This window comes from Homo sapiens, chromosome 21 (genome assembly GCF_000001405.40).
Source record: "Homo sapiens chromosome 21, GRCh38.p14 Primary Assembly".
In the NCBI taxonomy this organism is placed as follows: Eukaryota; Metazoa; Chordata; class Mammalia; order Primates; family Hominidae; genus Homo; species Homo sapiens.
The window spans coordinates 26,933,392-26,960,687 of record NC_000021.9 but is presented as its reverse complement, the minus strand read 5'-3'; the positions used below and the strand labels follow the sequence as shown (position 1 = coordinate 26,960,687).

At 37.6% G+C, this 27,296-nt stretch overlaps 1 protein-coding gene and 1 non-coding gene across 3 annotated transcripts in view, besides 3 other annotated features; one reads left to right on the top strand and one right to left on the bottom strand.

Annotated features, from left to right (window-relative positions):
- Positions 1-27,296, top strand: part of ADAMTS5 (ADAM metallopeptidase with thrombospondin type 1 motif 5) — a 49,167-nt gene that overhangs the window by 6,401 nt on the left and 15,470 nt on the right. The window contains exons 2-4 of one of the 2 annotated variants that reach the window (NM_007038.5): positions 5,817-5,949; positions 17,141-17,308; positions 25,939-26,222. In NM_007038.5, the coding sequence (NP_008969.2) occupies positions 5,817-5,949; positions 17,141-17,308; positions 25,939-26,222 (585 nt within the window). The remainder of the gene's footprint in view (positions 1-5,816; positions 5,950-17,140; positions 17,309-25,938; positions 26,223-27,296) is intronic. The other variant, XM_047440680.1, reaches the window with a different exon arrangement.
- Positions 5,254-6,680: an enhancer, noted in NCBI's record as "VISTA enhancer hs1684". NCBI's record gives its function as "enhancer in: somite[5/6] | midbrain (mesencephalon)[3/6] | dorsal root ganglion[5/6] | trigeminal V (ganglion, cranial)[3/6]" and the evidence as "EXISTENCE:transgenic organism evidence [ECO:0001131][PMID:17130149]".
- MIR4759 (microRNA 4759) lies at positions 6,645-6,727 on the bottom strand. The gene has a single exon (NR_039916.1). It is a non-coding gene; the product is annotated as a microRNA 4759 (primary transcript).
- Positions 18,035-18,204: an enhancer, noted in NCBI's record as "experimental_61884 CRE fragment used in MPRA reporter constructs". NCBI's record gives its function as "activates a minimal promoter by MPRAs in K562 erythroleukemia cells, with activity observed for the introgressed 21:28314888 or rs186196009 variant allele {active_cell/tissue: K562}" and the evidence as "EXISTENCE:reporter gene assay evidence [ECO:0000049][PMID:34662402]".
- Position 18,119: a transcriptional cis regulatory region, noted in NCBI's record as "Neanderthal adaptively introgressed variant 21:28314888 (GRCh37/hg19 assembly coordinates) or rs186196009 in the experimental_61884 CRE". NCBI's record gives its function as "modulates activity of the experimental_61884 enhancer by MPRAs in K562 erythroleukemia cells {active_cell/tissue: K562}" and the evidence as "EXISTENCE:reporter gene assay evidence [ECO:0000049][PMID:34662402]".

Here is a 27,296-nt window from a genome sequence, read left to right as displayed (position 1 = left end):
GAAGTATGTCTTCTCACAGTTCTGGAGTCCAGAAAGTCCAAGACCAAGGCTCCAGCCAATTTGATTTCTAGTGAGGGCTCTCTTCCTGTCCTATAAATGGCCACCCTCTCACTGTGTACTCACAAAGCCTTCCCACTGCCTGCAAGTAGAAACAGAGTGAACACTCTTGGGTATCACTTCTTCTAAGGACACTAACCCTATCTGATTAGAGTCCTGTCCTCATGACCTCATTTAACCTCATTTACCTCCTTGTAGGCCCTATCTCCAAATAGATGAGTTTGGAGAGGACACAATTCAGTCTACTCCACCATGCTGACAAGTTTTAATTGTAAATTAAGTGCAATGGCAATCATTGAAAAGAACATTAGTAGGAAGACAGCAATGATCAGAGGTGTGTTCTGAAATGAACCTTCTGGTCTAAGTAGTGGACTGGATCCTGGGTGAGCAGGCTGTTTCAGAAATCTTCAAGAGGAGGCTCAAGGTGGTCTAAACTAAAGCAGTGGCATTAGGAATTGAGAGGCATAGATTGGGTCAAGAAATGTTAGGAAGAGGTGGATGTGAGTAAAAATTCTTTGTAGCAGAAGGAATGTCTTGGGCTGAGCTTCAGAGGCCAAAATATTCATGAGATATGCACAAAATAGTGGACAGAATGGAGCAGGAAGGTACAGTGGAGGCAGACAGAAAGACTGAGGCTGTAGTGTGCCAGGTTTTGAATGCCAGGCTAAGGCTGACATGAAGGACTGGAGGAATCTAATAAGATCTGTGCTCTAAGAAGGTGACTGACTTGAGCATATAGATAAGGAAGTTACAGGAGGAAAAGGGACCAGTTAGAAGTCTCGGGTTATAATTCAGGCAGGAAATAATAGTAGAAAAAAATGAGAAATAGAGGACAACTACAGTGACTTACAGTGGCTAATTAGATGTGACAGGTGAGAGAAGGAGGCGAGTTAATGATGTCACCAGTTTTCTTATCCAGTGCTTCCATTTTCTTGTTTTCTGGAATATCTTTCACAGTGTATTTCATATATTTAGTATACCTCTAAATTATCTAGTTTTTCCAACACAGCATAGAGAGAAAACCAGGATATTCTTTATTTGCTGCAAGAAAGAAATTTGCTTAATCAAGTGTAGATTATGAATACAAAAGATAAGATTAATGTCAAGAATAACGTATGTGATGACTTAACAAAACCATGGTGAAGTAAGTTCAGGATTCTGAGTGTTTAGATACAGGTTTGAATTTCAGCTTCAGTATGGACAAACTTGAGATTTGGAGCATTTAATGCCCCTGAGCTTTAATTTCTTTATAAATTGGAATGCTTTTAGTTAATATCAGGACATGTGTAGCTGGAACAAACCCTAGAGATGACCTGGACCAAACTCCTGATGTTAATGATGAGGGAACTTTGTCTCAAAGCATGTAAATGATTTACACAGTGCTTCTCACTAACAGCATTGAATTAAAAAGCAATCTACCTTCCATTCACTCTCTAACCAGCTTCCATTTCTCTTTACCAGAATGACTCCGTCAAGCATCTACTCCCCTGCTCCCTGTCTCCAACTTGCTCCATCTCTTCTTCCCCTTCTTACCTCACATTTGTCAGAGAAAGCTTCCTGACTTGGAACTCTGGGCCCAGACTCTCTTTCCAGCTTCCCTGCTAGCCCTCTGCTCAACAGATCCTGTGTTCCAGCCAAAACAAACTTCTTGTCATTCCCAAAAGACTCTGCCTTTTCCCATTCCATTATGTTTCCACTAGTCCTTCCTTGCCAGAGTATCCTTCCTCCCAGGCTATCAGATCCACTCACTTCCGTGGAGACACCTTTATGGATTCCCTCAAGGAGAATTCATCAATGCCTCTTCTGTTCTCCCTGAACAATCTGTTCATAATGGAAGTCACAGTTTGCTTTGTTCTTGACATATCTGTTTTGCTCCTTAGAGCCTGATGTTCCCTAAAGCTCAGGATCAGATCTTATTTCATCTATTTACCACAGTGTCAGCACTTCCACAGTGTCTGGCAGATTGTAGGCACACAATAATTGTTTTAGGAATAAACACGTCTGGATCTCTGGGACCCTAATCCATCTGGGCTCTGTGTGTTTGGTATCCCTTAGGTGTATCAAGAGACAAGGATAGAGATTGTATAAAATGGGTCATCGTAAAGGTTGGCATAACAGTTCCAATTAATGTAGTCTCTGCTGAAATCTAAAATTAAAACCCCTATTATTGGGGACTGCTGGATAGGTAGCCAGAAAGGCAAAGGACTCCTCAAGAATCAAGAATCAGATCCACAGAACAAATATGCATGCGTTTGTGTGTGTGTGTGTATGTGCTCTTCCCTTGAGCTCCATGCTTGCCCTTACCAAGGGGTAAGATCTATAGAAACAGAAGTTGCTATTATTTAACTCTGATATAAGGTGTTCTTCCTTAATTTCAGCTGCTGTGGCTGCAGCTGTGATGGTATCTACCTGTGTCAGCATTTGTGTTGCCTCTGGCTCCCTCCCTCAGCGTATTTGCACTGCATGTGAAAACAATCTCTCAGTCAAGACAAGAAATCCTATGATTCCTGTGATTTGTCCACCTTAGGACATTTGGGTCTGACTGGTTCATTTTCACCACCCAGTACTGCCCACTGGGATTTTCAAAGTTCACACTATCTTCTGAGCATCTGCTTCTCAAGGCAGCATCCTTTACTGGCTCCCTGTCCCCCATCCCATCCCCAAGAAGTGCCCAGTAGATCTTGGGTATTATTACGGCTTCAAAATTCTGTGATAAATCACAAGCTTGGCCATATTTATAGTCTCCTAAAAGGTCATACCTGGTGAATGGTCACAGTGTCAATGACCTTCCTATCGAATCTCTGCTGGTGGTGCAGACCACCATGAATACACTTCTGAGTTAGATACAATGTCTCAGTCTTGTATCCTGGCCAACACCATACCACAAAACCACTAGATAAATCTCTGCAACCTTTGCAACCTTCATATTTTACTAAATCTTCCACTGCATTACTGTCCACACAGTAGTGATAAGATATTGATCTTGCATAAAACAAGCCTTATTTGATATGACAAAGATAATCACTTACCTTCAGATCTACACTGAACAAGCAGATAAGCTTTTGTCAGAACTTTTAATTCGTTTACCTCTTACATGGTATTGTATGTGATTCACATCTCTCCAGTATCTCCTGCTTCCAGGTCTAGATTATATCTATCTATCTATCTATCTATCTATCTATCATCTATCCATCTATCTATAGACACACACACATATCCGTGTATCACATATATGTGTGTGTATACATACACATATATAATAGCAAATGTGTATATATGTATACACATATACACATATACTATTGCCCCAATAATATCTTTACTCCTGCTCAGAATTTAAGAATTTAAGAAAGTATTCTATAAACTTCAAATAAGGTTTACACCTATAAATGTTGTTAGAAATCATCAACAGAAAGTAGACATGAATGCGAGATGCTGTATTCTTAACAATTTGACGCACATTAGTTTTAATTCATTGAAATGAACATTGTTCACAAAGAAATTCAGATGTTCATTATAAGCCTTGAGGCTGAAACTGTAACTGTTTGCCAAGATTTGAAATTGTGTGAGTGAAATGGAAAGGTTGCCAGTTTACATAATTATAGCTACAGAAATATATAGTGTGGCTGAGTAGTCAAGGAGTTTAATCAGTGTGGTTAAAAAAATAACAAGTGCTTCTGTTCATAATTTTGTCACATTTCCGTGGCAAAAGGCCAAATGCATTTAATCCAATTCAAGGATGACAAGGAGGGTTGATGGCCTCTAATGAGCAATTGATTAGCAGTAAACAGAGAGATATTAAGAATCTAGTTTAATCTCTATCGAGAAGAGGAGGGTCATTTCCCTTTGCTGTGGCTCTTCATCTTAGCTTATTTATAGAGTAAGAAGGGAAAATGTAATTCTTGGATTTTATTATTTAAAGATAAATACCCCAAATTGTGATATAAACATAAATCTTGTTTTAAAAAAAATGTGTGCAGATATAACCTAGAGTGTCTAGCAGCTCCCTTAAGGCATGACCTAGGTTTTTGGTCCTAGAGATAGTGAAATGATTGTGGGGGAGGGGCTTAAAAATGTATTGTGCTACATTATTATCTCAAAGACTGATTATTATGCAAAAGTGTGTTCCAATTTCAATTTGAAAAACTACTGATTTGTACTCAACAGCTGTAATTTGGCATCCCATGGGATGACATGGGAGGATATACAGGAAACTTTGGAAGGCTGTTGGTTTTGTGACATGATTAACCAAGGCTACTTGGCTGAGATTTCCAGTGTCTAAAGCTACAGTAACTTGGTGGCCACACTGTAACTTATCTCAGCTGGGAACTCATAATAAACAGAACACAATAAGGACCTGAGAATGAAGTTAAGAGAAGAGAATACAGCTGAGTTTCTAAATACTCTTCACCTTGGTAGGATTTTTATGCAGCAAAATAGCAAAGGGTTAGAAGAGTATGTTGCCATTGAGTATGTAGCACTGGTTATGTAGTCACACTGCCTTGTACTGGTTGTCTGGAGCCTGCTGAGGTCCTGCTGGCATACAGCATATTAAAGATGTGGGAGCACTATAATGTATCTGACTGTAGGTCACAACTCAATGAAACAAATGTTTGCTGAGTTCCTACTATATAAGCTGGAGAATATGGAAGTTGGGCATACAAAAATGATTGTTGTATAATAGAAACATTTATTATTTTAACCAATAAACAGTTGTCTTTACAATAATTAGTATATTTTTAAAACTTTTCCTTTTAGAGTTCCTAACTTATGGCTTACTAGAAACACGATCTTGCTCTTTGGGAATATAAATGAGCACATTGTTAGTAAATTTTCATGGAAAATTGTGGTCAAGCACAAGAAATGCTAATGTCCATTAATACTCAAATAGCATTTAAAGGGAAAGTTTATCATTATGAATCTGTCATGTCAAAAAGTTGCGGCTTATATTTTCTCTTTATGTTTCATATCTCAAGAGGCTTGTTGAGGTCCCTTTCATCTAAATTGATCATTTTTCACCATTATTGGGGTGGAATCATGTTCCTATTTGAGAATCTCTTAAAAGATTACATGACATCTATGAAAAACTATGACTTTTTACCAGAAAAATGCATATATTCATGTATACACAATTAATATATGACATATATTTTCTGCAGATTGGTCAGGTTGAGAAATGCTACATTAAATGTTATGAGTAAGAAGGTACAGATTTCAGAAGACACAACCTATGAAATTACAGCTCATTTGGGGAGTAAAAGATGACCTTTCCTCAAATTATGAATTAAAATTTAGTTTTCTATCCAAATTTCTAATAAATTTATACTCTGCTGCAGACGTCTGGCTGCAGTTTGCCCCTGTAATAGAAAACAAATTATAAGGCCAGATTTTGATAAATTTAGCATGAATTTCCATCAGAATTTTAGGACTTTCCTAAGCATGACCATATGGGAAGGTGATCAGAGACGTATCTGCATTACGGCTTTGTTAAAGCTGCGGGTGCTATTGTAATAGACAAGTTACAATCCTAAGACATCTTTTTAAATGTAATTGAGTTCCATTATCCTTCTGTGTTTCTGGGCCCCAGAGCAGTTCAGAAGAGTCTCTGCCTTGAGTTTGCCTTTGGAACGTTTCCAGAGAGGAACAGGTGATACCATAAACATATCCCTGTTGCCATTTGGGGTAAGCAAGTGGCTCTATGTGGCGGCTCCTTCTGGATGTAAATTGATTTTAATGATTTCTTTCTTTCTCCTGGGCAGGATTTATGTGGGCATCATTCATGTGACACCCTGGGAATGGCAGACGTTGGGACCATATGTTCTCCAGAGCGCAGCTGTGCTGTGATTGAAGACGATGGCCTCCACGCAGCCTTCACTGTGGCTCACGAAATCGGTATGCAGCGCCTTTTCTTTTCCCTCACCAAATCAAACACTTGTAACAGCTGCAACAGGAACCAAAATACTTAGCAATTAATTCCAGATTTCTCCTGGTTCAGATGTACCACTGGGAATTAAATTTGTTTATATCTGCACTTTTAAGGTTAACTAATACGAGCGACAGGGAAGGCAAAGTCAGCAACACGGTGGATGTTTTCTTCTGACAGTGTCATTTAAAAGTTCAAGAGAAATTTGCTACTGCTACTGCCTTCTTACTATCTTTTTAAGCATCCGTAAATGACCCCTGGATGAAATTTGTCACAGGCAACTTTGGTATGCAGAGATGTCCTTCTTAGAAGTTACTGGAGACAGTACTGGCTCATCCAGGGCTAATCAGTTTGCACAGAAATTTAACATGTTTTATTTCATTGTCAGTGATAATTGTAGGCTCCTGTCAAAGGTCATCAATGGCTTATGGTAAATATTTCTGTCTTGTTCTTAATAGCAAGGAAAGGAAGCCAAGCCTGACACTCAACAGGGTTTGCTTTAAAATGTCACTTACCTAATTTGTTTGTTGTAAGAAACACATCTAAATCCTACATCTATAAATAGAGGACTGAGTTGATTGCTAAAAAATATTTCCAAAATAAAGAATATGTGCTTCCTAATTATTGACCTAGATTACTAGGTGTATGAGAAATTGGCTTAGTACATTTAGGACTAGATGTTGGAATTAGACACAATTTTTTGTGTCTAACTTTTTTCTGTCTAATTCCAACATCTAGTCCTAAATGAGCCCAATTTTTGCTAAATTACTTTATACCTATGTCACACTGGTCTAATTATTTAAACTCTCTGAGCTCCAGTTTTCATATCTGAAACATAGGGATAATAGTGCCTATTTCAGGGAATTATTTTGGGGAATATATTGGGTAGAGTTTAGATAGTAGATGTTATTTATATCCACATGTACTTATGTTTTGCTTTTTAGCTAAATAGTTCATTTGCTTTTGAAATGTATGTATCAACTCAGCATCACATTTTTGGGAGCAAAGCATGGTTTGATAATTATGGTACCTTTTGCCATCTATAGCAAAAAAGATTTTGATTTAAACAGATTTTGATTTTTAAGGTTAAAATTATAACTTTTAAATGGGAATTAAAACTACTTTTTTACATTCCTAATAGGCAGAGAATATTTTCACAAAGCATCCATTTCTAACTGCTATGTTTTCTTTGGGGAGTTAAATAACTTCTAATCCAAGGTACAGTGTAATTGCATAATTCACAATATTGCCGCAGTAAAACAGAATTCAGTAGTTAAATGTCAGTTCTTAAGTATGGCATTAATGTTCCTGACACGTTTCTTACCTCCTAAGCAGAAAAACACAAATATAAAACCTAAACGTAAATAATTATCCAATAGCATCACTGAGAATAATTCAGTGTTTTATTGATTAGGCGTCTTTGGCTTCAGTAGTCAAAGATCTGAGTGGAGTCCCAGCTCTGTCTCTGGGTTCTCTGTTTTATCTCAGACAAGTGATTTAGATACTTTGAGTCTCCATTTCTTCCCTATAAAGTGGGCTAATGAGGAGGCATGGCTGTCTTCTCAGCTGCACTAGAAGAACTGGTCAGCCTGAAAGCGTCTTTATAACACATGCCATTTAGGCTCCAGGGTAGGGATCATGTCTCTCATTTATGCCTATTAATCCTTACTGATAAAAACACAGCCTAATACAGAACCTTAATCAATATTTATTACGTATCTATGTATGTGCTTGACTGCGTAAGCGGGAGAAAGAAACATGAGACTTGCTCAAGGCAACATTCCGATCTGCACCGGAAACTAAGAGGAATTAGTCCAAATACTCAGGAGGATGTAATTAAATAGAGGAGACTTTTAAAGTACACTGGTAATTAATCACCATCATTCAGAGTGAGAGGAGTCCCATAAGAAAGGTTCTAAGTCCCTGGAAAGGCAGAAGCTGATTCGTCACAGGTCAAGCGGAGAAATTATGGGGAATAAGCAGCAGAGCTGAATGTTGGCGTCATCCATCCACAGGATTATGGGCTCCAAATCTTGATCTTCAAAAGGAAAGATTCCACATTCCTTAAAGGAAGGGCAGTTTCTTTCCTTTCTAGTGATTGGTTTTCACACATTGACTGCATCTGGGAGATTTCCCTGTAAGACAAACACTGTGGCAATAAGTGCAGCTTCTTCAGGGATGCTTTGACCTCAAGTTAACTAGGGAGGATTGAAGAGCCCTGCAGGGTCACCTTTCCCAGCTCTCCTGAATTCCTAAGGCAATCTTGGGTTACAAGGCTGATGCAGCAGTCTGAGAGGCAGGAAGCCAGATGCTGATAAGCACAAACGTTATATTAAAACTAAATATATACATGTGTGTGTACACACACAGTAAGAACTTTTCTCAATAGTACAAGAATATTAGACATAGTTATACAAGGAAACAACGTAGGAGAAAGGTGGGCTTCTGTATGAAAACTAAAACCTAAATCTTTGATATATGATTATGCCCTTCTGTGCACTTAAATTTTTGGTTGGATCATCTTTGTTTATTTCTTTAGAAGTCCCTGTAATTCATTGCCCAATCAAACACTCTCTATTTAACTTCCCTTTTGTATTACATATGAACTAATCTGAGCTATTTAAGGTCTGGAAGTGGGGGAATATGGATTCAATTCTGCTTTCATAAAAGAATCTGGTTCTCATTCAGTTTATTTTCTAATCTCTTTATTATTCTTTAATTTCACTTTTTGCCTAAATATTATGAACATGTGTTATAAAAAATAAGCCTTCAACGTTTAGGAAAGATAGCCTGACAAAAGATTTCCTGATCATCTGTGTATTATTACAGAGTCTTGCCCCTCCAGCCAGTGTGATCTTGGATAATGCAGCTTGCTGGTTTGTTTCCCGTGCTGTATTTTTTGGATTGCTGTGTGAAGCTCTCAGTCTGAGCTAACCATGCTCTCGATTCTAATTCTCAATTCCTGCAATCTTCTCTCTTCCTAATTTTTTTTTTTTTTTTTTTTTTTTTTTTTTTTTTTTTTTTTTTTGAGATGGAGGGTCACTCTTGTTGCCCAGGCTGGAGTGCAATGGCGCAGGCTCAGCTCACTGCAACCTCTGCCTCCCAGGTTCAAGAGATTCTCCTGCCTCAGCCCCCCAAGCAGCTGGGATTACAGGCACCAACCACCACACCTGGCTGATTTTTGTATTTTTAGTAGAGATGGGGTTTCACCATCCCCCTTCCTTTTTACTAGACATTTGTGACTTTCTAGATTTGGAAGATGTGTATATGGTCAAAGTATGGCGATGAAAATGACGTTTTGAATGCTCAGTTTTCCAGTGTTTTAAATTTACTCTAGCCTCATTCCAAAATGTGTAATTTCCTTTATGCAAACAGTGTGAATGTGTTACTGTGCTCAAAACACAAGCTAGGAGAGATTCCCAGGCTGTTCCCATAATTTTTCTACTTTATTTCTTCTATAAGCAGTAAAAGGATATATTTGAGCAAGAATAACTCTTCCATTAACCTACTTACAGGTTCTCGTGGAAACGCACAACTGTTTCCTCTTTCTCTTCACAGTGGTTTAAAATAGAAAGTCATATCTATTTTGTGCATGAATAAACTGAATCAAAATTTTCTTTTTAGTTCATTAACAGCCTGGGCAACATAGGGAGACCCTGTCTCTACAAAAAATTAAAAAGAAAAAATAGCTGGGCATGGTGGTGCATGCCTGTAGTCCCAGCTACTCAGAAGGCTGAGGTGGGAGGACTGCTTGAGCCCAGGAGACAGAGGATAAAATGAGCTATGATTACACCACTGCACTCCAGCCTGGGTGACAGAGTGAGCCCCCCACCTAAAAAAAAATCTTACCTTGATAATTAACTCATAAGGTAAATAGAGGCAGAGCTGTAGTCTCTATCTGACACCATTTCTACCCACGGCATTAAATTATTTGAAGTCAAAATGACACAGGTTAAAAATGAACAATTATGAAAACTTACTCTTTTCATATACCATTTGAAACTAGAACACTTCTTTTTTTCTGCTAATTCTTTCAAAAAAGCTGCTAGATTTTGAAGGTAACTAATCAACTGATGCCAATACAGACTTCTGGAAGATGGATATTGATTGACATTGATTCTGGATAGGCAGTCAAAAAGTGCTTTCCTTCTTGTGTTATATGCATGTAAATGTTGGCTAAATTGTTAAGACATTTCAGAAAGTCACTTCAAACTATCAAAAACACAGTCCCCATCCATGTTCCTCGAGTGGAGGCAGGAATGTGTTTACAGCCACTTTACAATCCAAATGTGAACTGCAGAAAGTTTTCAAGTTAGTGTAAGTTTACATTTTGAGTTTATATTTTAACTTGTCAAACTTTTATTATTGACTTGTAATAATAAAGATTTCACCTGCTGCACATATGGTCCTTAAAAACAATAATTTTATTGATGTTGGGCCAGCTTCTAATACACTAGGAGGAACAATCTGATTTTATTTAGACAAATGAAATCCATAATTTGCAAACATGCCGAAGCTTTGCTTTATAGTGGTTAATTATAAAATGCACTAAGTGAATCTCTCTACTGTGAAAGACTCCAGTGTGCTTCCTAAGCTAAACTCAGGCAACTTAACAAGTCAAGACCAAATATTCAGCTGAGACTTAGGAAGTGGTTGAGACACAACAGCAAAGCCGCCTGTGTTTTGGTGTGGTTAAAAGGTGTTCCCTGGTTGTGCTGATCTGTGTGTGACTCTGCTTCTGTAGATGATTAGATTAAACACGGCCATATTTTGAAAAGCTGCAGAGGTTCTTGAAACACCACAGACCAAATCCAAATACACAGAATCAGATGTCCAGGCTTGTTGTAAGATGTAAAGTTCGAAGGAAACTAGGATTAAACTTGATATTTTCCCGCAAACCCATTGCTTTAATCAACAAGCAGTTTGGAGGAAAGCCACACTATGTCTTTCTTGGCCCCCAAATAAAATGTGGGAATAAGTTTTTGCTATATGTTGAGGAATATTGAGAGATTTTGTGTCTATTGTCAGTTTTTAAAAACTTAATCCCAATTCATGTTTCTCTAGGGAGAAACCTATAGATTATCTAGCACATGTGTGGAAACCAGCAAATTGAAGGTGGCATAAAAAGTAACTCTAACACACACTTGCTGAGTGATTTTTTTTCTTTTATGTTTAGGAAGTTTCCTCTTCCCTCCCACATAAAGAGTGTCTAGTAATATCAAAGCTTGTTGGCTGGTGTGGTGGCTCATGCTTGTAATCCCAACAGTTTGAGACAAGCCCTGGCATCATAGTGAGACCCTGTCTCTACAAAAAGTAAAAAAATAAATAAATAAGTAATAAATAAATAAATTAGCCAAGGGTGGTGGTGTGCACCTGTAGTCCCAGCTAGTCAGAAGGTATGAGGATCATTTGAACCCAAGAGATGGAGGCTTCAGTGGGCTTTGATAGCATGACTGCACACCAGCCTGGGTGATACAGCAAGACTCTCTCTCTCTCTCTCTCTCTCTCCATATATATATATATGTGTGATATATATATATGGATATATGTGTGATATATATATATATATATCACTGATTACTAGAATACTCATAAGTAAAAGTATATAACAATCCCAGAATATCAATGAGGACAATAAAGTTAGCTAACAATCACTGGTCCTTTGATATATGTCAAGCACATATTCTAATCACTTTGCATGTTTTATATCATTTAATTCTTACAAAATGCCATGAGGTAAGTACCATTAGTGGGTCACCCAAGAGAGAGAATGAAGCTAACACACAGGGTACTTTCTAAACCCGTCTAAGGTCAACAACTAATATACTGCTAAAGTGAGATTAAAACCCAATCCATCTGGCTCCAGAGCTCAAGATGTTTATATGCTTCTAGAATGTTTTTTTAGACAGTTTTTACTTTAAAGGCTATAATTCTGAAATGGATTCAAAAGGATATTGACACAGCTAGTTATAAGGTGAAAAAGTTAGAGTTTCTTCCTTCCAAATTACATAATTGATACCACATTTACCATTCATGTTTAATGCTTTCAAATGGGAGTTATAAGAGTTTTATCACATCTATGTAAAGATTCGTGTTTGAATAAGCATGCATGATCCAATGACTGGAGCTCATGGTTCCCTTCTTCAAGGATTCTAGATTCTGATTCCATGTGAGCAGTTGACTCACTTTTCAACCCCTGGCAAGACCGTGCACCTCCATAATCCCAGCTGGAAAATTAGGTAAAATAAAAACATGACCTCATTAAGAAACAGATGCTTCATCTGAGCAGTGCTTTCCCGAGTAAACACATTACAGAGCTTCTTGTGACATTTTTTTAGGATGTGGTACTGTGTCCCCTTGACCATTGGTCAGTTTGGGATCAGGAGACAAGAGCTTGAAATTCTGTTTAATTTGCAGACCAAAGTTTAGAAAAACAACCAATTTCCTTCCTGAGGTTAATGTTATAAGTCAGCCCTGGTTGTACAGTAATGCCTGGGTTGAATAAGAAGCTGAACCAACAGTTTCCTTTAAAGTGATGTGTCTTCATCTGGCTACACATTATCACAGATTTTCTAACACCAGATTCTCTTGTGAATTTAATGAAGCAAGGTGTTCTTAAAATCTGTATTGGGAATATCAAAGATAACATTTATTTTATAAAATGTCACCCCTTTGCCAATTGAAAAAGAGAATTTTCATACCAGAAAAGTTATCAGGTGACGATTTGTTTGCTATTTCTGAGCTAACAATGTAACTCAAACTCTCAGTCCTATAGACTTTACTCTGACATAATTTATCATTACATTTAATTTCTTAGATTAATTCAAATAAACTCCTTTCTGATGTTACTTGCTGACAGACACTCAGCATGACTGTTGTATGATTTAACATCAATTAAGAATAGGTCAACATCATCTAACACAATTTACACCTTAGCTTTTACTAATTATTTCAAACAGCGAAATACAGTTCTGATCGGGCGCAGTGGTTCACACCTGTAATCCCAGCACTTTGGGAGGCCAAGACAGGTGGATCAACTGAGGTCAGGAGTTCGAGACCACCCCGGCCAACATGGTGAAACCCTGTCTCTACTGAAAATACAAAAAACTAGCCAGGAATGGTGGTGTGCGCCTGTACTGCCAGTTACTCAGAAGGCTGAGGCAGGAGAATCACTTGAACCCGGGAGGTGGAGATTGCAGTGAGCAGAGATCTTGCCTTTGCACTCCAGCCTGGACGACAAGAGAGAAACTCCATCTCAAAAAAAAAAAGAAAAAGAAAAAGAAAAAAAGAAAATAAATATAGTTCTGAGGTAGGCACCGCTTGGAAAATACTCGTGGATTAGACAGTTGCATTATTCTCTGAATTTCACTCTGGCTTCTATCTCCCCTCCCCAGTTAAAACCCTATTTAGCATATAAATACAGAGGTCATTAACAAGTGCATCTATTACACAAGTGTGTTTGGTCCTTAGTTGCCTCAGGGTTTTAGGTGAAAAGCTTCCAATTACATCATCAAGAATTAAAGATAGCTGAGAAAGAGTATTGTAAACAAAATTGCTCAAGCAAACTGCTTTTCGATCTTTTGCATGTCTGCTGATTATAAATGGTCCTAAACACAAACACTAATTCTTCCCTAAAGCAAGACTTCACTACCTCTGCTTTAAATCCTGACAGCAGATAGTTACCTCGAAACCCACCTCTGCCTTTTCTCTCACTAGGAGTTTCACGTCCTATTTTAGTGAGGGAGCTTCCTCAGATCTCTGTCAAAATGGCTTTCAGTCCTCCCCACCCTTCTCTTGCAACACTCTGACTCTCCAAAAAAGAACTCTTTCTCTTTTTCCAAGGGTAAGGATTGCCATTCTATGTGGATTTCTCGATTCCATCCCCCTGCCTCCTCTAAAACCTCACCCTCAACTAACTCTGTTGCTCTGTATTGCTCTAAAAACTCATCATGTAATACAATTTGATGTAAACAACAAATTACTTTTGGCATTGTACACATTTTCTCCACACTCTTTTATATTCTTCATGTGCTGTTTTACTCTCTGAGACAGGGATATCTAATCCTATCTGCTGCTAATGCTCCTGGGGTCTGCTTGTCCAAGAAATGCTTAATCTCCAAACCACACCATTCATTTTAAACATCTCTGTGAATGATTTATGAACAAACTCTCCCTGAAAAGGCAGATGTCTTCAAAGCTATTAGCTTTTCCAATTCCCCTTCACAATCCCTACTTAAAAGACAGTTGTCAGCTGTGACACTGTATTTTAAATTCCCCGGATTCTGGATTTTCTCTGGTAGTTAGCTTTTGGTATCATAGCGTGCCGTCTTTACCGTGAGCACTCCTTTAAAATTGCTTATACTTTTGTATACTTTTGCTATTTCAAGGCCGATTTCAACTAAGAGTAAATGTCTTAGCATAATTGACTGGGGGCTCGAATTACAAAATACCACTCCTTTTGCTGTTTGCAGCCTTTAGAATGTGTGTCACGTCTTTCCTGAAGAGCATCCAAACATCCCTCACATTGATCTTCCCTTTCATATCCTGTCCAGCTCCTGAAGGGAAGTCACGCGGTTCTCTCGCCATGCCCTGGTTCCAGCTACTCTGGAACTGGCTGCCTGTTACTTTGGGTGCTTAAGTGTTCTTCACATTGCCCAGGACTCTCGCTGCCCTTGAGAGAGCATGCCTCTCCCAGAGAGCTGACAGGCTTTCTTCATGGAGCACAGAGTGTTCATTCGCCCTCAAAAGAGTCGATCTCTTTCAGTTGACTCTAAGCAGTCTGTTTCTGCCTGACTTTTGGAGATCTTACAAAAGTCACATCCCCTTGCTGAGGTGAAGCAAAGATTTGTTCATGCTTGAAAGGCAGTCTTTCGCAGTGCAATTTCCTCTATGCATCTTCAGTGGCAATTAAGTTTCAGTGGAAAATGAGCAAATTTGGGGAGCATAGAAGTCATAATGTTATATTAACTAGTATTCCAAAAGATTCATAAATGATGCTGAAATATTTCAAAATTAAATTGACTTGCTTACATAATTGAAACCTTTAAAATTACATGCTTCACCTCTCTGAAAGAGAGAATGAAGGTACTTTCTCAGGTCCCTCAAAGTGAATTTCGTGTCTGCCATGTGTCCTATATTTTAAATCAGAATTCTAAAATCTACCCTCCAAATGAAGTGAAAATCTCTTGATACAATAATAAAAAGGCATATGGAAAGTGCTATGTATTTATATAGATTTGGAGGAAAAGGCCATTACTTCATTAAATAAATATAAATATCCTATGAAGTAGAATGTATACATCACATTTTTTAAGTAAAAACCTGGATTCAAATAAATATTATGTTGCAGAGGTCACTTGGGGACACTTTTCTTCTATGCCAGAGGAAAAAACTCAAGAGTGAAATTTCCACCATATCCCTCAGTGTTAACTGATAAATCTTCTATCTTGGAAAATTTCGGGAAGTGTAGAGTGCGATATCAGCAAGTATTTCATGTACTAAGTAACTTTAAGTCATTTCTAATAGTACATGAATGAAAGATTGTTTTTTTTTTTTTTCTGTGAGCTGTGAGTTTCTTGAAAAACTCAACAAACCACTCAAAAATTAGATGAGCCCCTGCTAATTTCCTTTGCAAGTTATTTGGGACATACTTTATATATAGACTATAATGCACACTTATGCTACTGACCAAACAAAATGTTAAGTGGTGGTGGGAGAACTTCCCAGAGAAAACTTGTAAGCCTAGTAAATGCTGTCGAAGTAAATATCTGTATAAATAACATAAAAATGTGGAGGCTTGGAAGGTCACCGAGCCCTAGCCACTTATTTTCAGCCATAACAGCAGTCAGTTGCTCAGTGGACAATTTTGTTATGAGGTGTTGGTGATTTAACAAGTTGGCCCAAAGTAGTCGGAATATAAAGTGAAAGATTTCATCTCTGTTGGGTTTTATTGGTGCACACTGGACTCTTTTGCTAGAATGGCCAAAGTTTTCTGCGTTTGGCATTCAAGATCCCAAGGAGAATGTAGTCATCAGTTTGCTACAGTGTTTCCTAAATTTGTTTTAGTGGTTTGTGTATGATTCTAGAAAGCTTTGTTAAAAACACCACTAGGATGATTTGCTGTCTACTTTTTAGAGTTTGTAATTGCTCAAACTACTGTCCTAGATGTTTTAAATAGCATTGTAAATTTGTTGTGGAATATCATTTTATCTTTAGACTGCATGAAAATTGATCTTATGTAATAAAAAGCAATTTACTTGGATTATAAGAATGCAATTATGGGCTCTGTGAAATAATATCTAGCTTGACTGGAACTTCAGAGAACATTGTTGGTTGAGAGGCTTAAGCACAAATATCACCTGGCTGAGTGGTTTTGAACACTCACAACTATCACTTGGGAAACCAAGCTGTCCTTTCTTCAAGCTCTCAAACTCCATATTATTGGTATTTTGACATTTTAAAATGTAAATGGGTATGTTTTCAAAATGAGCTATATGTTTGTGACAATAGTAAACATTCATAACTCACTAAATCACCAAAAGAAATGAACGGATGAAGCAAGCTTAGTTTTGCAAGAAACCGGAAACTTCCTCATTTCACTTCTCTTTCTTTGTCTCCCCTAGTCCTCCCTTTTATTAGCCACCTATTTACTTGACTAAGAAAATAAGTCACTGACATTCAAAAACCATCTACTAAGTGTTTGCAACTTGCACAGCACTAAGTTCAATACAGAGGTTTCAACAGTATATGGGAGCAAATGCACTTTGATCTCATGGGGCTTGATCAGAGAAGGCAGAAAATTAGACAATCAAAATGATACGTGGTGAGGGCTATGACATAATCCCACAATTGTCTCGCAAACTCTAGATTCTAAATAAGGCTTTGTTTCCACATGACATTAAGCATATGTGATCCAGATGAATTATGGGAACATCTACTCTTTAGTTTTTCAGTTTCCATCGAAATGTTCACCAAAAGCAACTGCTACACTAACTCCATGCAACTTTTATTTCCCTGGAGGTCCAGTCTCTGGGTGAGAAAGCAGTTAAAGTGAACTCATCTACAATTAGGGGAAAAAAATCAAGCCCTAGCATAATTGTCATGGAAAGATAGAAATACACAATCACGGATTATTTGTACTTCCTCTGTTGTCTCCCTTAGGACATTTACTTGGCCTCTCCCATGACGATTCCAAATTCTGTGAAGAGACCTTTGGTTCCACAGAAGATAAGCGCTTAATGTCTTCCATCCTTACCAGCATTGATGCATCTAAGCCCTGGTCCAAATGCACTTCAGCCACCATCACAGAATTCCTGGATGATGGCCATGGTATGTATCATTTAGGAGAACACAGACTGAGAAACAAAATTTGGGATTCTTAGGAGTTTGACTTCATTATATCCTCATAATATTCATCTTGCCCTCTAAGACAATAGTTGTGTGGATAGTGTCAGAAGAAAGACCAAGAAAATTGATCATATGTGGGTATGTACTGCCAACGTCCTTGGTGGCATTTTAGCTATGGTATTTTGGCTTTTGAATTGAAAAATTTCAAAGGAGAAGCAGTGTGGAAGACCACACAGAATGCCTAGCTAGTGCCCTGAAAGTCTGGCTTTTATTCCTTCTTTTACCACTAGCTTCCTGTGAGAACTTTGGCAGACATCTTGGTTTCCCTGCTATTAATATGACTCTCAGAATTATTTGTTACATGCCTATTATAGGGGTGCAGTTAAGGTGTAGGTGACAATTCTACTGGATTCTCTTTATGGCAACATAAGCCCAGAAGAGGAAGCTTTCTAGATTTGCACTGACTAGAAGAATTTGGTTTTATTCTGATAGGAGATTCTCCTGAAAGTAGAGTAAAAACTGCATAACAGAAATAGAAAAGCAATCTGAATGATGGGAAAACACTTTAAGAACTTCAAAAGAAAATCTTTGGCTTTATCCTTCAAATATAGTTCAAGAGCACAACATACTTTATTAAATTCTGTAAGACTAGGATCAGTGCTGTAAATTACATTGAAATACTGAGGAAGTTACAATTTTTAGAAATAATAAATTCTGACCCCTAAGTAATCTTTGAAACAAGCTGTTGCAAATTTCCAAGCATTCTTCAGTACTTTAAAGTAATAAAAACACAGGAGGATAGATGCATTAGCACTCTAAAGAATCATCAGACATTATGTAGCTGAAATTTCCTATGTTACAGAAATGGACATATTCTCATTTATTTTATGTTCTCTTAAAATTTATGTTTCTAAAACTAGTAGTTAAATTGAATGTGACAGAAATTATTGATCATAATAATTTTCTATAAAATTACCTCATGATATACGGTTCAAAGTTGAATAATCTATGGCAACCGTCTTTTTCCCAGTTCCACAAAGTTTATGACTCAATGTCCCATAATTTTTTAGTATGTTGACTGTTTGGAACTGTGGCTACATAATACCAGAACAATGGACAAATTCAAATTATTTCAGACTTAAAGAAATTCAGCTGCACAGTTCTCTGATACCATGGAGTCAAAATATGTTCATTAACCCATTCTTGCTCCATTCGTGGTGAACAGGTAAGGCTTTAGCTGCCTGTTACTATATATTTGCTTGTCTCATTTTGAAAAGCAATCTGAGTCCAGCTTGGTTTAAAATATATCTCAATACAAAAAAAAAGTTCCTTTTTAGTTGAAAAAATATGTCAATAATTTAAAGACTTGGAAACAACAATAAGAATTAACGTATGAAGCTTTTTCCTTAGACCAGTAATACAATGGTAATTTTATGTTTAGCTCAGTTTACATTGTGGATTAAATGCAGATAAAGTCCTAAAATGAATGTTACCTTACTATCATCCTATCTACATTGATCAGGTCAGTATCTCATAAAGTCCTTCTTGGGTGGAATCTTAAGTCTCCACGCATAATATTGCTTTTCTGTTTTACTTCTTTTCAGGTTTTCTGAAAATAAAATAACATTAATATTTTATTTCAAAATCACATGTTACACATTCCAAGAAGTTGAGCTAAACCTTGAATCACTAAATGAATGGATTTAGTTGCTAAGGCAGCAAATACTTATGGCTAAAATGAGACCAAATTTTTTTCCCTGTGCAAATATTAGGTCAGCTAATTACAATGCTGTGGAGAATTTTGTTCCTAATTTTGGAATGATTCATTTATTTCATGTTTATGGAATTTGTGATCTTAATTTCTATGCAGTAAATATGCTTTCAGCATTGTCTTCATTTTTAACATTAATTCTATATTTAAAAGAGTCTATGCTCTGATTTTTTAAAGATTTTATAACAAATTTACATATTTTTATATCTGTTTCTGTTCCAAAGGGCTCATGATAGAGAACAACTAAGAACATAATTTTAATAGAAATAGATCTTGTTCATTTGCACTAATAAAAAAGTATCTAAATTTCTCATGTATATATATTAAATAAATTCAATTATCAAAATTCCTTGAGCAGAAAATGCTTATAGTTTACTTATTTGATTTTTTTCATCCAATCTAGACTTTCTCACTTTTGAATATCTTGGTTTGGTTAGGCAGCCTTTTGTTTCAATAAAAATAATCCTATTTTATCAGTAGCTTATAACATGAATAAAGTGATTTCAGAATAACAAAAACCAAAGAAAAGCAGTGTGGCACAATGACAAAGCTCAGTTATGTCTGTCTTACTTTGTTTCAAAAGAGCATACTCAGATTCAGAATTGAAACAGTGGTACTCCCTGTAGTGCTATTATTTAAAGATGAATTGAAATAACTTAATAACTTTTAAATTGTAACCAAAAAGCTCACTTAAGTCAATGTAAGTGAAAGTGTGGCCATAGAAACTACCAAACCCACTTTAGAGATGATTGAGGTGCTAACATTTCAACTACAGAGCATGGGAGAGAACTAAGAAGACAGTCACAGTCCAAGATGATAGAATAACAAAGATGCATCTTTGTTAGAAGACTAAACGATGTCACAAAACTATATTATAAAACCTTTTAACTTTACTCATAGAAAGCTACACAGGCTTCCACTCAGAGCCCATTTATTAGTATTTTACAGTTCTACCATTTTTCTGTTCTAATTTTCTAGGCCACTCAATTTTTTTAAGCAATAAAATAGTCATGATGGATGAGGGTGGGGAGACTTTAGACAGGTAATCTGAGAACAAGAAATGATATTATTTAACAATAAGAGAAAGGCTATAAATAGCCTGAAAACATGAAAGGCACAGTGGTCTGGTACCATTTTCTAAAGGTCAAAAGCCCTATCTCACCAACATGGTCCCTCAAGTTAGTGCTATATTTCAGCATGATACAATAATTGACACACAGAAAAAAATGACTTTCAGTTATCTAGGAAAGTTAAACTGTGACCAGTATAAAGGCAGAAAAGCAATTTGCTATTTTTAAGCAGGTAATCTGACAACACATATACAATTTTTCAATGGTACCTAAAGAGTACATTATAAATGGGAATTCCATTTATGTCTAATATCTTACCCCACCCCCTCTCACCTTCAGCAATACTGGAGAAATGAGGTCGGAGAGTAAAGTTAAATTCAAAGCATTTGATTTATTTTTAAAATTATTAGCCATAAGTAGCTGGACATTTGTAGCACTCGTCCACTGCCAAATGTAAATTCATTAGTACTGAGTGTTTCCTGATTTAGTTCCAACAAGAAATATGCAGCAATTAGGTTATGGTTGAAAAACCAGCGTGCTCACTCTAAAGTCACTGTGTCTGCAGATTTGTGATTCAGAAAAGGAGAAGCCATGTCTCATGGGACCCCCCTCCTCCCAACCTTGGCCAAGATACTTGTAGACATTCTGCAGTGTTTATACAAGCTAGCTCTAGGCAAGCTGGCTAGGAGTATGATCCTCAAAAATAAAGGTAAGCACTGGCAAAGAAATTGTGCAGTGAAAGCAGGTTATTGAATTTCCTTTCTCAAATGTTTACTAACCTTGAGTCCAGAAAAGATAGCTGTGTCTGCTGTATCCCTGAGTCCACAGTGCCAGATGATGAGAAAGGCCATGACTTATGTAGATACAGCTCAAGAACACTCACAACACAGGTTGCTAAGGAAAATCTATGGATGGTTTTGAAAATTCGTCATGTAGTGTAAAGAGCTAAGTTTACAGCCACTTACTGAACACAGAACTTTGCACATAAAATGATATTGGAAAACCAGTTCTCTGAATCTTTTGTTAAGTATATAGACTAAAGCTAGCCAGGAGAGCTTAACATCAGTTTTTAAGGTGGCATTAATAAAATTCAAAGCCAACACTATGGTTGTATCTTGATTTTCATACTAAATATGCTCTTTAATAGAGTGTGAAAATAAGACATATAGTTTAAGGCCACGGTGACTTATATTTTTAAAAACTTTCCTTTATCCTCTATCACAGGGAATCTTTAATTTAATTTCCTTGCCATTACATCTGCTCAACAATATACCTAATGCATCTAACAGCTTCATACCCAGACCCCTTGAATTGCTTTTTGACAACAATTGTCTGGTTTTTTGAAGTGCTCTTGTTCATTCTTATATCACTGGGCCCAGAATGAGTGATCAAAGAGCAGGCAAATGCACCCATTTTTCTTTTAACATTAGACATTCAAGTAAAGACCTAAAAGCTGAGGGGCAAGGGCAGTGAGATGAAGAGTGGAAGCAAAGGGAGATTGTAAGCAGTGGTGTTAGGCTTCTTCGGATGAGTTTGATTAGGAACATTAATTGATTTCTCCTGCATCATGAATATTTGGGTCATGCTTAATTTCATACCTGCATATTGAAAAGGAAGAGAAGATGGAAATAATGTTAGTGCTAGAAATAGGGAAGAAAAATTTGAAAACAATAAAGAACAACAACTTTGAGACCGGGCATGGTGGCTCACTCCCTGTAATCCCAGCACTTTGGGAGGCCAAGGTGGGCGGATCACCTGAGGTCAGGAGTTTGAAACCAGCCTGGCCAACACGGCGAAACATAGTCTCTACTAAAAATACAAAAATCAGTTGGGCATGTTGGCGCATGCCTGTAATCCCAGCTACTCAGGAGGCTGAGGCAGGAAAATCACTTGAATCTGGGAGATGGAGGTTGCAGTGAGCCGAGATTGCACCACTGCACTCCAGCCTGGACAACAGAGCTAGACTCCATCTGAAAACAAAACAAAACAAAAAAACAACTTTGGTTAATCATTAATATGAGAGACAAATAGTGCTATAAGTCAGACATATGAAACTAGAGATTTTTCTGTTCCATTTCCTGGAGGCGTGGCATTCCTTCCAACACCTTTAGTGGAATTCTGCCAACACATTTTCTTACTGGTTCGCCTCAAATCACAACATTTTACTTTTTATTTTTTTGCCTTATTTTAAGCATTTAGTTTAACATGAATGGTAAAAACATGTATGCAATATGCACACATTCCTATTGACTTTCTTTCTTTTCTTTTTTTTTTTGAGACGGAGTTTCGCTCTTTGTTGCCCAGGCTGGAGTGCAATGGTGCGATCTTGGCTCACTGCAAACTCCACCTCCCAGGTTCAAGCGATTCTCCTGCCTCAGCCTCCCTCCCGAGTAGCTGGGACTACAGGCGCCCGCCACCACACCCAGCTAATTTTTGTATTTTTAGTACAGACAGGGTTTCACCATGTTGGCCAGGCTGGTCGCGAACTCTTGACCTCAGGTGATCCACCCGCCTCAGCCTCCCAAAGTGCTGGGATTACAGGCATGAGCCACCGCACCTGGCCTGACTTTATTTTATAGTCTATCCATTTATAAATATACAATGTTAAAACAAAAGGAAGAAGGAGGGAAGGGTCAAAGTGTTCCCAGGAAGATCCAGATCAAATTTCAGACTACGATGAATTAGAAAATATGTGAAGTAGATGTGAAGAAGTGGTTGAGAATAAAATTAAAACAGATTAAGAAAAAAATCAGCACTAGGTTGGATGCCTCTAGAGCTCACTAGAAATGATACTGAAAGGTTGATCAGTTTCCCCTTTTACTCCTTCCCCAAACTGTATACATTTCTTAAACATATAAAATGTATATCCAATCTGTTATTACTTAGATTTTAAACATTTTATACTGTGAGTTTCAGACTTAGGCTCTGTATTGATTTTTGTTACTGTTTCTTGGCACCATTCTGCCATTTGGTAGAGATGCTTGTACCTATTTTGTTGCAAAAGGACATAATTCAATGTAAAAATTAAATTATATATGCTTTGGCATAAACAGAAATTGATGCAGCTACAAATCCTAGTACTGAGAACATTGGCATAACACATTAATTGCAATTCTGAAATAAATTATTTTATTTTAAGCAAGAGAAGATCATCTCCACATGTATGACCTCTAAGGGAAAATTATAGAGCTGATATATCTTATTTTGAATAGAAAGCTAATGTGTTATTTATTTTTAAAACTTACAGTTCTAAGTTAAGCTTTTTAAAGAGATGCCACATCTTGAAGTCTCCTTGTTGGAAGCCGATTTCAAATTGCATTACACGTTTCTTTTTCACTTGTCATCTACTAGTGAGGTAGAACAGGTGTCAGTGACTGTGTATGCATAGTCAGGTGGTGAGTTATTTTGACTCCAGAAAAATGAGATAGATCCATGCCATGTGCATGCACACATGGTAAAGACTTCCTAGCTAATATTTAGTTACCCAGTCTTATGGTCTGTGCTTTTTAGTAAAATTTTTTTTAAAAACTTTCTTAAAACAGCACTTTTGAAGAACTGGAAAACATTATTGCAGACTCAGAGATTTGTTGACAGTCTTCTAACATCAGCAATCTGCCAAGCATCCCCTAGTTTACACAGTACTTCTTTTTTGATTCTGCAATGAAGATAATGTTTTTCGTGGAGTTCTGAAGCCCTAATCGCACTCTGTCTTATAAACAAAGCTTAGTGAGCTTTTACTATCATTCTTTCCTATCGGCTTGATGTTCGTGTTTTTCTTTTAACTTGGTGTTTTTCTCCCAAAGTTCTCTTTGGCTGGATTCTTATTTTTAATGCTTTTTCTGGCTTGCCTTAAGAAGCTTTACCTCTTCAAACGTTCTGGCTCAGAAGTTAAATAGGAACTTTGCTCTTTATTCATTTTTATATAATGCCCCCAACACAGATTGACAAATTCTAAGGTATTCACTTTGAAGAAATTTGAATGTAGTCCTTAAAAATTTACAGTATACTTAAAATATGCTGAATATTCTATTTCTCAGTGGCACATAAGGATTTGAATATGACTTTTTTGTTGAATAAAAAGAATAACTGTAGTACATCTAAAAGGCTGTTAAATATACTGGGATACAACTACCATTGCTTTGTATTTTTCTGGTCACCCTTAAGATCTTTGTTAGCTAATTTCACATTTACAGTATCACAGTGAGAAGAGAAGCATTATGCAGATCTTGAAAATAAATTAGGGAGAGGTTAGCTAACTTAGCCAGGAGCACTCAACCATTTAGTATTTCACCAGAGTAAGACTTCAGACTGGGTGTTTCTTCCATTAAGCTCAATATCTACCACTTAAAGGATCCTTACACATGGCTGCCCTTCAGCAATACAATCAGGCAGCTACTCACATGCTAACAGAAGCCATATGGCATCAGAAGAAAAGGGCAGGCTCTGAGCATGAAACCATAACAGCTGTGTGACCTTGGGTAACTGGTCTGCCTCCTATGGGCCTCAGTTTCCTTATCTGTAGGATAAATAAAATATGCACTAGAATCTGCCTGATGGGGTTGTGGTGAGGATTAAATGAGCTCATATATGTAAAGAATGGAGAATAGTGTGTGTAACAAATATTTGTTATTTTATTGCTATTATAATAATTGTGTAAATCCTAAAATAAAGTAAACAGAAAAATACAGAAACAGATGGGCAATATGCATGCATATGTGGGTGACAAAAGAAAATTAATGATGTTAACTCACCGGACAGGGATTCTTAGGGAAGCTTTTGCGGGGAGGGGAAGGAGAGGAAGAGGAAGCAAATTTAAGGTTTTGGATTCTCATCGTCCATGTTCCAGCTTTTGTGGATTCCCCATCTCACCCCTCTGCCTGTACACCCTCATATATGATGCAATGAGATGCCTACCTTGTTTCGGCAGATAGATCCAAATACTCAACAAACACCAATTCCATTAAATAGACATAAAGCAAAGAGTATAAAGACTAACTTAATCCTAAATTATCAAAGACTATTTTTTCTTTTTTCACTGCTCCTTTGTTCTGTGAATCTTGAAAACTTTTTATTAAAATTATATCAGTCTGAGAGAAATACTTTATCTCTGTGACTTTATTGGAAGGCCTTCAAAGGTAGATCTGGGTCATTTTTCTGTATTTCAGATACCTAGTGTGTTTTCTAGAACATTGTAGGTGCTGAACAAATGCTTGTCGAGTGACTGTAAGAATGAATGAGGAGCCAGCTTGGCTATTATTTATGGAATTAGTGGAAAGGAGACATGTGATAGGCACATGGGGAAGGGGTGAGTTAGAAATGGGTAATGGGTTATACAGATAGAGTGCCAAGGACAAACTCTGTTTCTCAAAGTGGTAGAGTAAATGCTTCATTATCATTATTATTATTATTATTAAAATTCACCATCTGATTTTCTCTAGGTCCATCCCAATTTTGTTTAGTGCCTTAGCACAAGGGCTATTTTCACAACTAATCATTACAGAATCATTTTATTCCATCACACCCCTGCCAACCTCACCTCTGTTGTTACAGACACTCCGGAGCGCATCACTCCTGAGAACCCTGGAGGGTCTGGTGCGTCCAAGGGGGCTCCCAGCCTTGTCCCCATGGAGTCCCTCTCCAGAGCATTACACTACAGATTCATGGGTGCCTCGTGCTCCAACACCAGCCGGGGCATTTCATTTTTAGATCCATGATTTTAGCGGTTTGAAACCTAAACACAGAGCCGTGGTCAATCTCAGTTATTCTTGTAGGTAACTGTTTGCTGGACCTACCACGAAAGCAGATCCTGGGCCCCGAAGAACTCCCAGGACAGACCTACGATGCCACCCAGCAGTGCAACCTGACATTCGGGCCTGAGTACTCCGTGTGTCCCGGCATGGATGTCTGTGCTCGCCTGTGGTGTGCTGTGGTACGCCAGGGCCAGATGGTCTGTCTGACCAAGAAGCTGCCTGCGGTGGAAGGGACGCCTTGTGGAAAGGGGAGAATCTGCCTGCAGGGCAAATGTGTGGACAAAACCAAGAAAAAATATTATTCAGTAAGTGATTTTCTCATCAGTCAATGCCTGGAGGCCCAAGAAGTGAAGTGCATTCTTGTGATGGGTATGGGCACTGTTCTCAGAAGGCTTTATTTTCTAATTTAAAAACTTTTCATTTTGAGGTTTATTTAGAGCTTCTTCTTTTACCCGCAGTAGCCATTCTCAGTGATCCGAGATTTACTGGGGAAAATGCAGATACTGGGAATTTATTTGCAGTTTACATCTTTTAACAAATACTTATGTAACTCAGATTCTGTCTAATTGAGACCTCAGGTAGGACCCTATTAATTGCTTTTGGGAAGTTTACTTTCAAGCTTCTCTTGCTAAAGTTATCAGAATATAAGTATTTAAATTCAGTAAGGAGGTAATAGCAGAGCCGATACATGTGGTGCTTGTACATATTTGGTGAGCTCCAAATGGTCACTTTTTTCCCCTTGACAATAAGTTAATCTAAATTTAGGAGCTAAAGTAACTTACGACTGCTCCGGGGAAACACGTCTGCCACTATATACACAGTCCAGCTTCAGGTCAGCAACTGCCCTATTAATTTTCGAGGCCTAAGTAAAATAAGTGCTCGCTCTCAACCCACAAGATTTGCAAAGTCCCTAGAAGAGAATTATCCTGTGCCCATTGCCTGTATCTTTCCAGGGCATCACCCAACCATTCATCATCAGATAACCTGACACAGTCAGCCAGAGGCAATTCACAGATTCCCTCAGCAAAGCAGCTGATCATATTCTTCCTTTCAGAATCTCTAAGCTCCCTCCAGGAATGTTTCCAGAGAAACAGACTTAGGTTGCCATAAAAGGGCTCTTCCTTCCCTAAGGGGTGTGTCTGCATGTATGGCGTGAGTGCATTTCAGTATCTGTCACATCTAATTAGGAATTAAGCCAAGTTGGGTCCGGTACATTTATGAACGTCATGGAGTCGGTCACAGACAGGATGTGGGATGTCAACAAAGGGACTGCAGAGTTTTACTGCTGAAGAGATGCAAACACAATTAAATAATGCCCAGTGCCATGCAGATCCTTCAGCATTATACGTTTCAATAAAGATCCAACATCAGAGTGGACA